Source organism: Homo sapiens, chromosome 3 (genome assembly GCF_000001405.40).
Source record: "Homo sapiens chromosome 3, GRCh38.p14 Primary Assembly".
NCBI lineage: Eukaryota > Metazoa > Chordata > Mammalia > Primates > Hominidae > Homo > Homo sapiens.
In genome coordinates, this window is record NC_000003.12 from 187,520,994 (window position 1) to 187,536,266 (window position 15,273).

A 15,273-nucleotide genomic window follows, 5' to 3' on the forward strand; every position below is an offset into this window, starting at 1 on the left:
GGGCGCGGTGGCTCATGCCTGTAATCCCAGCACGTTGGGAGGCTGAGGCGGGCAGATCATGAGGTCAGGAGATTGAGACCATCCTGGCTAACACGGTGAAACCCCGTCTCTACTAAAAATAAAAAAAAATAGCTGGGCGTGGTGGTGGGCGCCTGTAATCCCAGCTACTCGGGAGGCTGATGCAGGAGAATGGCGTGAACCCGGGAGGTGAAGATTGCAGTGAGCCGAGATCACGCCACTGCACTCCAGCCTGGGTGACAGAGTGAGACTCCATCAAAAAAAAAAAAAAAAAAAAGATTGGTGGGGAAAATATACCGTGTGTTAGGCTTGCTTAGAAACCCTTCAGAATCAGAAGTGAAGTTCACAAGCAGAGAGCTTATGCCCCAATTGAGATTTACTTCAGTTTTTCAGTTTTTGTTTGTGTACTTGTTTTAATAAGGATTATACATACGCTGATGGTTGACAAGTCCACAAGATTCGTTTCAGAAAGCAGTAGCGCCCTTCTCCCCCTTTCTTTCATGTCCACCTCTCCAACACACCACTTTCACCTATTTTAGCCACTACTTTTTGGTATTTGATTCAGGATAGAGATACTTATGTTTTTTTCAGTTTTCTCCCTCTTCCATTATCACATATGCACATCCTTTCATACTATCCAAATCTTCTCATGACAATTATGTCCTAACCTGGGCTAGATTTAAATGTGTCTGCACAGAGTTCATAAGTTAGTTTCATAAGGTTTCATTTTTTTCTGGTTCGCTGATTATCTTGTCATTTCTAAGTTTATATATTATACTTCCTCTTTTGTAAAAAATTGGGTTAGGGTTAGCCAGGGGTTTAAATCCTCTTTATGATTTTGACTGCGCAAACACTGTTTAAACAGTGAAACATGTACTTTCAACTGATTCTTTTTTCTGAATAACTTTTTATTATTTTTTAGAGCCAATGATGGTCTTATAGTTTTTAATTTGCTTATTTTTTTCAATGTAGGTAACCTAATTCATCCAAAGTTCTGCCACCTATTCAGGTTTTCTCTCAAAATGTTCAAAAGTATCAGTTATTCTATCAATGATAACTTTCTGAAGAATTTTTTGGGGGCCTTCTGTTGGATTCCAGAGTGCTGATTTTAACCTTTTTGCTGGGTGCATAGCTGCATCATTGGATCTGCCTGGTCAGTCTGTGGTGGGGGATAATTAAGGAATCAGAGAGACCGAGGGGCTGAGGAGGAATTATTTAATTATTTAGGTGCACTGACCCACTCGGATTAACATCCAAACGACTGAGCCCCAAACCAAGAGTCAAGCTACCTTTTAAACATTTTGTGGGGTGGGGGGAGATCTGTGCAGGGGGAAGCATATTACAGAAGGGAGAAACAAAGACACTTATTTAATTGAGACGTGCATTACATCATTTCTTACTTTTTAAGGAACAACATGGTTTATGACTTGAGATTATCTGTCTGGTGACCTTGCAGCTGCACAGCTAGAGAAACAGTCTTCATAATGCCTGGGAAAGGGAGAGATAAGGGTCACTAGCCACAGAAAAACAGGCAGTTAATTTTAAAGGACGCCAGCTCTTTCTCTTCTTAAGGGGGAATTGGGTTTTCTTACATACAACTGAGTTTTTGCTTACATGTTCTTTATTTTCTTTTAATTCCTGTTTCAAGTCATCATTAGGATCCCCTTCACCTCTCTTTGATTCCCAGTTTTCTGTATCCATATTTTCCTCTTTATTGGTTTTCTCCCTTCTTTAAAGGAACTACATCCCTTGGCAGAGCAAACCTCTCTGAAAAAGAATATAGGGCAGGTAAAATTTTGAGAACATTCATCTCTGAAGTTGTCTTTATTTAATTCTCACACCTGACTGATGATTTCATTGGTTATGACATTCCACATCAGGAATCATTTCATTCAGAATGTTGAAGTCTCCCTTCCATAATCTTCTAGCTTCTAACATGTCTGTTGAGAGAAGTCTGAAATTATTCAAATTCATGAGTCTTTGTATGTTATTGGGTTTTTTCCCTCTCTTTCCTCCCCTTCTTTCCTCTCCTCTCTCCCCACTTCTCCATCTTTTTCCTCTTTCTCTTTCTCTCTCTCTCTCTGTCTCTATCAGGGCCTTGCCTCACCCTCTCCCTCTTCCCCTCTCTTTCCCCCATTATGGCGATTTTATCCATGGTGCCAGGCCCTCTCAATCTGGAAACTAGTGTCATTTAGTTAGAGGACCTTTTCCTGACTTATTTGGTTGGTGATTTTCTCCCTTCCATTTCTTCTCTTCCCTTCTTTTGGAAGCCCTGTTATTTAGACCTTAGACTTTGAGGGCTGTTGTTTCTTCTATCTCTCTGTTTGCCATTTTTTTCTATTTTATCATATATGTCTTCAACCTTAACTTCTGTTTCTTCTATTAAATTTTCATTTATCTGCTGTTATATTTTCAATTTCTAGGTGTTCTTTTATTTGTCTCTGAGTATGCTTTTTAATTGCATCTTCTTCTTTTTGCATGGATGCAATATCATCTCTTAACTCTCCAAAGATATATTATTTTTCAGTTGTCTTCTCCCTGTATGTTTTCTTTTTTCTCTAATGTGCCTTGTGTTTGTTTTGGTCTCTGTATTTCAAGTTACAAATAGTGATCCTTGGGGAACCACAAAAACTAACTAGACTAGGTCACAAGAAAAGTTTATTGGAAGCTCTGGATTCATGGGGTGGGACAGGTTGACTGTGGGCTCTAATGGTGAGTTTGGGCCAATTTTTATCAATATCTGTAAATCTTTCCCCTTAGGCTGATTTTATTTCTGGGGAAGGATCCTCTGGTCTTGCGTTGGCATTTTTGTAACTGTGTTGGCAGTGTCAGCTGAGACCTCAATGTTTGGAGCACTTATATTTTCTTATTGTCCTTCAGGATGGTAGCCCACTCTCAATTGTGCCTGGTGCCCTCTAGTTTAGGGAACATCCATTTACCCTGTTCAGAGACCACATTTCTAGTCTTCTACCAGGTGGGTGTTCACCTGGCTGCAAGGTAGAGAGGATATAATTGTCAAAAGCAGACTTTTTAAGCTAGCCTGTTCACTCACAATTCCTAAGGTACTTAGTGCAAATTAGTAAAATTTTGAGGGGTTCTGCATGTAAATAGTTTTTTTGTTTAACATTTACCAGTGCTGGTTTAAGATTCAACTTTTCCTGTACAGCTAAATTAGTTAGCATTCATTCATTTGCATTTTACCCTTCAAAATTTTATTTCTTGTAAATTTGTGTCTCTTCTCAGTTTCTCTAATTATGAATTATATCCTTTAAAAATATGTATCTTTACTATTGTTTTAGTGGGGTTCAGGAATGGAGCAAAAGAATGTGTCCATTTCAACTCATCATTTTTACCCAGTGTTCCCTAAGGAAGATGTCTTGAATTGGGAAGACTGTGGGCAAGAAGAGAAGGTTTCAGATTGCAATGTTTCTTCTAGCTTGAAGGGATTGGATTTTGAAAGTAAATGCATATTTCAATTTGCTTTTCCCATTTGTGAACCTTGAAACACGATTCAAGACACCACATTATTATCACTCTCACACCTGTCATGATGACAGCAGCCAACATCCACTGAGTGGGTACTTCATGGCACTGCATAGCCCAGCACTTTATACACTTTATTTCATTTCATCTTCACACCAATTACATAAGGTCAGTACTTTTATTATTCTCATCATAGAGGTAAGAGGAGTAACACTTGGAGAAATTAAATAACTTGCCCGAGGTCATAAAGCTATAAACTGAAAGAATCGGAATTCAAAGCTAGGTCTGCCCAGCCCATAGTTGCCCAGTGATGATGCTCCTTTTAGTTGCAGGTGTCTGCTCTCTTGGTTGATGCAGCTTTTTTGTTTTTACCATGCCACCGCAGACCCCAACTGCTACCACCACTGCTGCTTGTAACCACCCCCCAGCTAGCGTCAATTTCACAAAAATGCACTTAATAAGTGCTCGAGTAAATACGCGTAGAATGTGAGTGAACAGAGATCTTTTGTATAAAAGATCTTCCTAGAAACTTTGAGGGGTATACAATGGAAGCAAACATGCCTTTCAAGGAGAACATAGTCTATTGACAGAAACAGAAACCACCTGGTCTTGGTGCTTTTGTGTTCTTTTTTTTTTTTTTTTTAGACGGAGTCTAGCTCTGTTGCCAGGCTGGAGTGCAGTGACCTGTGACGTGATCTTGGCTTGCTGCAACCTCCGCCTCCCCGGTTCAAGCGATTCTCCTGCCTCAGCCTCTCGAGTAGCTGAGACTACAGGCATGTGCCACCACGCCCAGCTAATTTTTATATTTTTAGTAGAGACGGGGTTTCACCACGTTGGCCAGGATTGTCTCAATCTCTTGACCTCGTGATCCACCTGCCTCGGCTTCCCAAAGTGCTGGGATTACAGGCCTGAGCTACCATGCCGGGCCTTTTGTGTTCTTTAAATGCTTTATTTCTCTTGTGGTATTTGGTCTTTCTAGTCTTTCTATTTTTACTGGGGTACATTTTTATAAGTCATGATTAGTTTCATAAATTTGTAATATTTTTCTGGCCTTTTGATTATTTATCTTATCATTTCTAAGTTTGTATATTTATACTCCCATTTTTGTAAAACCTGGGTTAGAGTTAGCTAGCGGTTTAAACATTTTGTTGTTGTTGTTTTTTTTTCAAAGAGCCAGATTTTACCTTTATTCATTACTTCTACTGGTTTTCTGTTTTATGTTTCATTGATTTCTACTTTGATCTGCATTGATTCTTTCCTTTGGCTTACTGTCTTATTCTTTTTCTAAATTCTTGAGTATTTAGCTTATTTATTTTATTCTTTAATTTTTATTCATATGGATATTAAATACTATTAGACTTCCTCTGGTAACTGCTTTAGCTATATTTCATAGATTCTGACTTGTATTGTGGTCACATTAGTAATTTTTCCAGAAAGTCTATAGTTTGTTTTTTTATCTTTTCTTGGAACCAGGAATTATTTAATAGCATTAAAAATTCATCAGTAGAAGGATCTTTCCTTTAAATTAAATTTTCACCTTTAATGTATTATGGTCAGAGAGTACTGTTTCTATTTTTTCTCTTCCTTGAAATTTATTGAGGATGTTTTATAGCCTAAGATTATCAGTTCTCCTGACATTTCTCCATGCCCACTATATTTACAGATTAAATTTACAGACTTGACTCATTCTTTTTTCTTTTAGCTGATTTTGATTATTAAGTTATTGTTTTTCTTTTCGTTCTTTCTTTTTTTTTGGTCTTGCTCTGTTGTTTACTGCCCAAGCAGGAGCACAGTGGCACAATCACAGCTCACTGCAGCCTTGATCTCCTGGGCTCAGTCAATCTCCCTACCTCGGCCATCCAAGTAGCTGGTACTACAGGCATGCACCACCATGCCTGGCTAATTTTTAAATTCTCTGTAGAAACGAGGTCTTGCCCTGTTGCCCAGACTGGTCTTGAACACTTGGGCTCAAGTGATCCTTCTGTCTGAGCCTCCTAAAGTGCTGGAATTACAGGAGTGAGCCATTGCACCTGGCCTTGTTTACCATTTTCATTTGTTTAGTGGATCTGTCTTTTTGACATAACTTCATGGTCTGTAGCAGAGGTTGGCAAAAGACAGCCAACAAGCCAGATCCAGCCCATCACCTGTTTTTGTAAACAAAGTTTTATTGGAACATAGCCATTTATTCATTTACTTATTGTCTATGGTGAATTTTACTCTACATTGGCAGAATTGAGTAGTTGTGTCAGAGACCACATGGCACACAAAGCCAAAAACTTTTTCTATATACCTAAAATATTTACTGTCTATTCTAGGCTCATAAAGCCTAAAAATATTCACTATCTTTACAGAAAGAGTTTGCCAATCCTTGTTCTATAGGCACATTATTTTGCACCATATTTTCTTTTATCTTATGACTTTGTGTAGGATTTGACTGTGGTCATTTTCTGTTGCTCATGTTATTTGTTAGGTGCCTAGCACTGTCCAGTAAAACACCCTGCAATGATGGAAAGGTTCTGTACCACATAATACAGTAGCCTTCAACCACAGGCTGGTAAGAAATTGAAACGTGGCTAGTGCAGCCGAAAAATTAAATATTAATTTAATTAAATTTTAATGAAATTTAATTAATAAAACCTTAACCTAATTTCTTTTAGTTTAATTAGAATTAATATAGCCACATGTGGCTAATGACTACTGAACGGGGAATCATATTACTATATGGTCAGGGAAGTCTGTCTAGCTTCCAAGCTCTGAAGCACCCTATTCTTTTGTTTTTGGAAAATGGGATGTTTTGGTGTGGAAGCTGCTTCACATTTTTTACAGTGTGCTGAGTTTCCCCTCCCCTCCTTCTATTTTACTTAGATTGTTGCATTTCTTTGCTCCCATTGTACCTGTTTGGAGCAATTTGGATTCTATTCTCAGTGGTCTGTCCTCAGTCCTGAGCTCCTTCCTACAAGAATATTTGGTTAGTTAGTTTCAATGGTTTACAGGTTCCAGATCACACTGGTATTATCTGAGCTTTCATGGGCTGTTCGTATTGACCCATAAATCTGAGTCTGCAAAGCATTCTCTCAGTTTCAACCACTGTCCACAAATGACCAGTCAAGCTTTTCAGCGAGTGATTATTGGCAATTTGGGGGGGTCCTTGGGCTCTCAGCGCCATTGGAAGTTCTTTATATTCCCTTCACATTCTCCCACATAGCCTTTAATACAACACAATTCTTGTTATGATATATATATATACTCTGCTTATATTCTGGGGTTCATGGAAATAGATTGTATATTATTTCTGTGGGATTTTAGTTTATTCGTCTTTGCTGTATCTATTTTTTGGGGGGATTTAATGAGAATATATAAGTGTACCATCTTACCCCAATTCCCTATTATTTTCATATGTGATGCCTCTATCCACCTCCCCACAGGAGAGTTACTGACCTAGTCCCACCACTTTAATTTACAAGAGGAGGAAATTGTAATATAAGAACTAAAAATAAAATTCATATTACCAGACTTTCAGTCTAGTATTTTTCTCTTTCACCCTACAGATAGAAGATTGTGTAGGCAGACCGTCTGACAGTCCATCTCGCAATATGGTCCAGTAATTGTTTCTCTGTTCTGATAACTCCTCCCCCCATGCATCCCCCATCCCTGTTCTCTTCCCGAATTGGTGCTACCTCCTATTTGGGAAATACTTTTGCTTTTAAGAGTCTCATGGTGACAGAGTAGAGATAAGGAAGAAGAGGCAGTAACATTACTACCCAGGGCCAGTTTTGGGCTTGAGGATCATAGGGAAAAGATGGTTTAAGAATTTATTGGAAGAAGACTACAAATAGGGTTCAGTGTATACTGCTCGGGTGACGGTTGCACCAAAATCTCACAAATCACCACGAAAGAACTTACTCATGCAACCAAACACCATCTGTTCCCCAATAACTTTTATGGAAATTAAAAATAAATTTTAAAAGTGTTTATGGGAAGATTCTGATCTTTCCCCCTTACTAACCACATAAATCCTGGAAAAATAACTAATTCCCTCTTGTTTTTGGTGTGGAAAATGAGAAACTGGATATAATAGGGTCTAGGATAGTACTTGGCTCATACATGTTGTTTGATACCTGTTAACCCTCTCTTTCTTTTAATTTTCTGTAGTTCCTCCAGCATAAAAACAAGACAAAGTTTCTGCAGAGCTGCTCTAACCCAATAATAAAATTGGACAATAAGCTGCATATCTGCCGGAAACCTGGGACTGGCAATGGAGATGAGAAGAGAATCAGAAGGGTAAGGACCCCATATCTCCTTTTTCTCTAAAGTTTCTAAATTCACCCATTTGAATCAGGGGCTCTCGCTGGATCTATTCATTTTATTTTATTTTATTTTATTTGAGATGGAGTCTCACTCTGTCGCCCAGGCTGGAGTGCAGTGGCATGATCTTGGCTCACTGCAACCTCTGCCTCCCGGGTTCAAGCGATTCTCCTGCCTCATCCTCCCGAGTAGCTGGGATTACAGGCATGAGCCACTATGCCTGGCTAATTTTTGTACTTTTAGTAGAGACGGGGCTTCATCATGTTGGCCAGGCTGGTCTCTAATTCCTGATCTCAGGTGATCTGCCCTCCTTGGCCTCCCAAAGTGCTGAGATTACAGGTATGAGCCACCGTGCCCAGCCTGGATCTGTTCTAATTGCACAAGTGACAAAGTCCTATTGGCTCCCAGGCTTGGTTACCTGAACATCCCAGTTACTGGTCTCAGGGCCTTCAAAGCTTCCTGGATATCAGGAGCCAATATCATCACTGGTTCCTGGAGTATAACCAAGTCCCTGAAAACTAATATTTTTGGAAAAGAAAAATAGAGATAAGAGGAAAACCATCGTCATACACAAGAGAATGCAATACAGCATGAATGCAGAAAATCCTGTCCATGTCAAATTTTTTTCTTTCAAGTATAATCTCAATTATTCCTGCAGCATACACAACAAATTGATGTGTGTCTCTGTGCTGGCAGATGCTCCAATTGGAGCTATGCATCCAACTTGGAGAATTAGCCATCACTATGACAACAAGCCTCTTTATTTTTTTTCTGAATGAATGTTATAATTATCTACCATATGAAGTAAGATGCCGCTACTGACATTGTCGTTAGATCCTCTAGCCCTAGCTGTTTAAGATTTCTTGGTGGCAGAAAGCACCAGTTGGAGCCTTGGCCAAGTAGATAGCTCCAGATCAGGGCAGGCAATTCAAGGCTGAGAGTACATATGGGCAGCTTCTCATTAAGGGAACCTAGATCTAATTAGATGCTGTCCCACTCCCACACACAGGAGAGAAATCATGCTCTGCAGAAGGATGTTTATTGAGAGGTGGTTGAGTTAGGAAAATATAATTGGTTTATTTCTCCAGGCAAAGGAACCATCAAAAGTCAGGCATTACACATTTCTATAGGCCGAGTTTGGTATCAGGGTGAGGATGTTGGTTTACTTGATCTTTAGGCTACTCTAAAAAAGCAAAGGTAGAATTGAGAAACTGACTTCCTGCACTGCCTTCAATGTGCCATGCATTCTGTTAAGCACTGTCACAAATGCACTCCCCATTAAAACCTCACTAGTAATTTAAGGTAAGGCAAAAGAAGCCTGTGATGGAGACTAAGAAGTAGGTATTATTTACCTCCACTTTAAAGATGATGAAATTATGGCTCAGTGAAGACCAGAAATGCTTCTTAGCTGACAAAAACTTCGAAATCCATGTTGAATGCCAAAAAGGGGTGGAGAGAAATAAATAGAAATAATTACTATTTCCCTGATTCCTGTAAGTTCCACGGTTCTACCACCCAACTACTGCTCAGCCCGTGGGCCACACAGCACTGTTGACAGTGAATTAGAGTATCAAAATCCAGGAGGGGAGGAACCAGAGAGGTCAGCCTACTGCAGTGATAAGATCACCCCTAAATCCACAGCAGTGGTAATGCTGACAAGACTAGGGGTCCTGTGGTCCTACTCCTCATTTCACAGATGAGAAAAGAACTCTATTGGTTGTGTTGCAAGAGTCACCTGCCCAGTTCACAGAACAAGTAATTAGCAGAGAGGGAAAACAGACCTCCAAAGCCAGGATGCTTTTCTCTCCATCACACAGCCTCCTGGGAGTGTTGTATTAGGATTTTTCATATAAAGTCTCTACTGTAAAGAATGGTTGACTGGAATCCCTCTGAGTAGACATTCAGATAATGTTTTATGTGAGAAATATTTATTCAGAGTTTTCTTTTTTAGCCAATCCTAGCAACACCAGCTAGATAGCCACTTAAGCCACCTATACATACTAATCTGTCTCTTGACTGTGAAAACATTAACATTCTGTATACTAATCAGGAGTCAAAATCATGATCAGCATTCATTAGTACTTTTTTCCAGTTCAATGCACTGAAGAAAGACATTGTACTGTTACATCAGTTTACCTGGTTGATTCTTAGGATCTGTCAAATGCTTGCAGATAAAGACTTAATCATATAAGAATTGTAATTTGGCTCTTCTCAGAATTACATTCCATTTTGATAGACATCATAGATATGTACTGGAAATAAATGTTCTGTTTTCATAGTGTTAGATTATTTTGCTTCTTTCTTTTTCTACTGCTTTTTACTGGGGAAATATATAGCAAAGACATTCAGTTATTTTCCCTTAAATAAACCTGATAAAGATCAGTTTGGACAGAGTTTTCTTGGACAGGTACTTTCTTCAACTGGAAAGAGAAGCTGGGCTTGAACACCATTTCTGATGTTGATTTGACCCTGAGAAAGCTATGTAATATTTCTTAGCCTTAGTTTCTTGACCTTTTAGTTGAGGATAATAAAACATGCTTTATTTAGGGAGGGATGGGCTGATAAGTTTAAATGAGATCACATTTACAAAAGGGCATTATAATATGTGAGATACATAGTAAGTGATCAATGGCTGCTTAATGTTACTAAATGTGCTAAGTGATCAATATGTGCCAGGCACTGTGATAGGTGTGGTGGGGTTATAAGAATTAATAATGACATTAAGTTAATACTTAATGGCCATTATTTATTCCACAAATCTCTGTGAGCACCAACAATGTATCAGATACCATGCTAGGTGATGGAAAGCTCCTGCCCTCAAGTTGTTCACAGTTTTATTTGTGGAAGCAGAAGTAAATATAGTGCAATTAGCACCACCTGAATCAGTGCAACACAAGCTGAAGAACAGAGTAGGAGCACTTAATCAAGGCTAGGGAGATCAGGAAAGGCTTTACTGGGGAGGTGATGACACATTCAATAGATGAAGAAGGATAACGCTTCAAGAAGGCAGAACAATTTCTGCAAATCCTGGAAGCAAAAGAGAACATGGAACATTCAGAAATTTTCATCGTTTAATGGTCACAGTAAAAGTTGGAGGCAACAAATGATGAGAGATGAGGTTGCAGCAATAAAAAAAAAAAGAGCTGATTAAAGATCTTAAAAAGCTTCAACTTTACTTTAAAGAGAATGAAGAGACATTACTCAGATGAGTGATGTCATCAGATTTGAACCAAGGAGGTCACTATGGCATCACTGGACAATGAGTTGAGTGGATGTGGGAGGACCAGGAGGCACTGTTGAGCTACAGCTAAAAAATGGGAGGGAATTAGCTAAGGTGGCTGGTAAGAAAAAGGAGAGAAATTGACAGACTCAAGAGAAGTTTGAAAACCGTTAGTCACACAGTGGAATTGGAAGAGTCAAGCTGAGTCTCAGGTTTCAGTGTGATATAGCAGGTGCATTTTTGTGCCACTCACCTAGAAGAGGACCCAGGAAGAGAAAAGTTGGATGAAATGGGAGGTAGGAAAGAGGGTACAAGATCCAGGGATGCTAGGCTCTGAATCTGGAAACAGCCGTCATAGCTGAAAGTCTGTTTCTATAGAGAATAGGTCTAAAAGAGGACCATGTGTGGATCCCATGCGCACTGCCTAAAGCAGGGATCACCTGCCTATGGGATAGGGTAAAACAAGATGACACTGAGTGTGGCCTCCAGAGGGTTCTGTGTATCTGCAGGAGTAGGAAGCCAGGAACACTCAGATACAGGTTTACATCCTGGAAATTAACCAACCTGACCTCAGGATAAGTGGCCAGGTCTGCAACATATGTTGTACCTGTTGGTAGAAGTAACATGGAACCACCAACATAAAACATGGATTGCTGGGTCTGATAGAGGAAACTACACAATCATAGAAAGAGAGAAATAATCCAGATTAAAGGTGTGATTTTTCCCTTAAGGACTTGTACGTAGTCAGGTTCTGTTGGTGACACATTCTTTCAGCTTTCATTGTTTCAGAAGGTTTCATTTCTGGGTGTAGAAATGGACATTGACTTCTCCATCCCACTCCACTGCCTTCTGGCTTATGTCATCTTCAACAAGAAATCTGCTGTAATTTTTATCCTTGCTCCTTTCTGTATAATGTCCCTGTATTCTCTGGTTGCTAATATTTTTAAATTTTTATGTGCTTTTCACCAATTTGATTATGATTTGCGTGTGTGCGTGTGTGTGTGCGTGTGTGTTTAATAGTCTGCCTGGGGTTCACTGAAACACGTAATCCGTAAACTTATAGTTTTAACCAAATTTGAGGGGAAAACCTTTAGCTGTTCTTTCTTCAGATCTTTTTATGTGTCATTCATCTTTCTCTTCTTTTTCTGTAACTCCAATTTACTTATCTTAGAAAACTTTATATTATCCTACACTCACAGAAGCTTTGTCCACTTGTTTCAGTCTTTATTTTTCTATATGTGCTTCATTTTGGATGGTTTCTATTGCTATGTTTTTAAGTTTACTGTTTTTTTCCTGTGGTGTCTAAATGGTTCTGAATCTCATCTAGCGTATTTTTCATTTTTGATATATTTTTCATCTTAAAAGTTTCATTTAGATATTTTAAAAATATCTTGTATTTTATCATGTTTATGTTTTATTATATATCTTTTTGAATATTTATAATAGCTATTTCAAGTTCCTTGTCTGCTATTACCTTTATTAATGTCATTTCTGAGTCTTTTTCTATTGATTTATTTCTCTCCTTATTATGGGTTATATTTTCATGTTTCTTTTTTGCATGCTGGGAAATTTTTTATTGGATGTCAGGTCTCATGTATTTGTTGGTTTTGTGATTTAGTTGTATTTCTTTAAAGAGTGTTGGTCTTTGTTATGGCACACAGTTAAATTACTTGCAGATTGGTTCGATTATTCTGAATCCTTCTTTTAAGCTTTGTTACAATGGGTACAGATCAGCATTTACTCTGGCATTAATTTAGCCTTACTACTACAGCATGTCCTTTCAAAGGCTCTACCAATACCTCATGTCCAGCCTTAGGAGTTTCACCCAACGTATGCGCAGGTTAATGTTCAGGATTTGAGGGGATCCTCCTGTAGCTCTCAAGTGCTTTCTGTTTCTCTCTGTGCCTTCCTTATCTCTGGTCCTCTGCTCCACCACACATTCCTAACGTGAGTGATACCTGGGGAGCGCTGAGGGTGGAGGGCATGAGAAAATAAGGAAAGGAAGCTGTGTTCCATGCCTGGGGCAATCCGAAGCTGAGCCAGGACATCTTGTGTACAATGACAAGACAAACTACAAACTATGCTAACTTATCTGAATTTATCTTGAGTAGATTCAGAGGCATAGGCAACTAAAGATAGCAGAAATCATCATCCTTCCTCCTCCCATAACCGGTGAATAAGGTGGAATGTATCAGTCTCACTGCATGTAGTGTGGGACAGGAGTCTCTTCATTTGAATATCAAAAACTAGAGACTCTAAGCTGACATTTGGGTCACAGGGAGGAACCAGGGGACAGGAAGAGATTGGTGAGATGGGAAAAGAAAAATAAGGACCTAGAAAAGGAAATAAAATTCATGTCTGGAAGGGAATTATTGAATTAGCCTCATGAAGAATATTATTTCAAAAATGAGCCTTAAGAAGATAGAAAATATAATTAAGGAAAGATTGATGGGAAAGTTTCCTGGGTTAAGGAAGCAGCTTGAGAAAATTCACAGAAGGACATCTAAGGTAGAGTCGGAGAACAGAGACAGGTGAGTTCACCTTATTTGTTAGGTATAATGAAAATATTGAAATATAAGTCCTGAAAAAGAGTTTTGGACAGTACTATGAATGCCTTGATTTGGCAACATGAGTAGGTTATACTTGATTCATAGGAAATGGAGAATCTTTAAAGGATTTCAAGTGAGCATTGTTGCTTCCAAAGAAATTAACTTCCCCTAATGGGGAATAAAAGAGGAGGAAAATAGTCTTTTAGTCAAATGGCCATTTATTCACCAAACCATAAGGACTCTTTGCTACCTAGAAACTGTATACTTGGTCTTAATAAAATGGATCTTAATAATAATAATACTTATTCTCCTATAGCAATTTACTTTGCAGATTGCCTTTGGAGCGAAATCTCATTTGATTTTTGCAAAAAAAAAAATTATTGGACTGAGATTCCCAATTTCCTATTGAAGATGAGAAAACTGAGGCTCAAAGAAAATTAAGAGATGTCTAACTCCAGACATCTGCTTAGATATTGTTAGCCCTAAAATCAGAACCAGCTTATGACTGCCCCATACAACTCATTTTATTTCTTTAGCTCAGAAGAATGGAAAGGAAAATAGTATGTTGAGTTTTTAAAGATGTTAGGACTTTTATTTCTAGCATAAGGCATAAAACAAAGGCTTATTTCAACTCCAGAAGATGGTACTAACACCTGGGAGGAGTTATTTATTGAGAAGACATTTCTTTATATTCATAGCCTAAGCCCCACTACTTACGTTCCCATGCAATGAGAGTTTGATGACAAGACATTGATTTAAGGAAGTGTGATGTGACTCCTCCACCCTGTGTCACTCCTTGTCCACCTGAAAAGTACCATAATAAATCGTATCAAAAGAAACCTTTTCTTTTGTGGTGCTTAAAGAAAAGGAGAGGAAACTGAATGTATCAGGCTTGGTGCTCAGTAAGACAGAAATAACTCTTGACTTAGTCAATTTTCTCTAAGGCGTATAGCAATCTATGGTTGCCCAGCTGAGGGCCAAGATTTTAAATAAAATTCTCACATTTGGACTGCCCACCAGTCTGAATATGTATCTATGTCTACACCCAGAAGACTTGTAAACTCAGGATTTTATAAAGGCAAAAGATAATTTGATCAAGATTGACCAAACTAAGTCAAAGAAATACAAAACTATTTCCTTTTTCTCTATGGTTGACCGAAATGTAAATCTGAATACAAAGAGGTTCTGGCATTCATTTCTGATTGCCTCATCACCAAGAAATGGGTAATAGTGTGGCTAAGAGAAGTTAGTTTGTCCCGATGCTGCTACCTCTAGAATAATTCATGCTGTAATAATCCTTTTGGTGTTCCCTGGACTGTCCTCTGCCACACATGGGGCAATAAAATGATCAAGTTCTGGCTGGGCGCGGTGGCTCACGCCTGTAATCCCAGCACTTTGGGAGGCCGAGGCGGGTGGATCACGAGGTCAGAAGATCGAGACCATCCTGGCGAACATGGTGAAACCCCGTCTCTACTAAAATATAAAAAAAATTAGCCGGGCGTGGTGGTGGGTGCCTGTAGTCCCAGCTATTCAGGAGGCTGAGGCAGGAGAATGGTGTGAACCCGGGAGGTGGAGGTTCAGTGAGCTGAGATTGCGCCACTGCACTCCAGCCTGGGCGACAGAGCGAGACTCCGTCTCAAAAGAAAAAAAAAAAAAAAGATCAAGTTCTTCATAACAGGGAGGTTCGTTTCAGTTAGC

At 39.0% G+C, this 15,273-nt stretch overlaps 1 long non-coding RNA gene across 1 annotated transcript; it reads right to left on the reverse strand.

Annotated features, from left to right (window-relative positions):
• Positions 1-1,786: 1,786 nt before the first annotated feature.
• On the reverse strand, positions 1,787-14,951 carry LOC105374262 (uncharacterized). Its single transcript, XR_007096211.1, has 6 exons — positions 14,845-14,951; positions 14,293-14,379; positions 9,159-9,224; positions 8,225-8,324; positions 6,396-6,454; positions 1,787-1,958 (listed from the first exon to the last, which is right to left on the reverse strand). It is a non-coding gene; the product is annotated as an uncharacterized LOC105374262 (long non-coding RNA).
• Between the last annotated feature and the right edge of the window lie 322 nt (positions 14,952-15,273).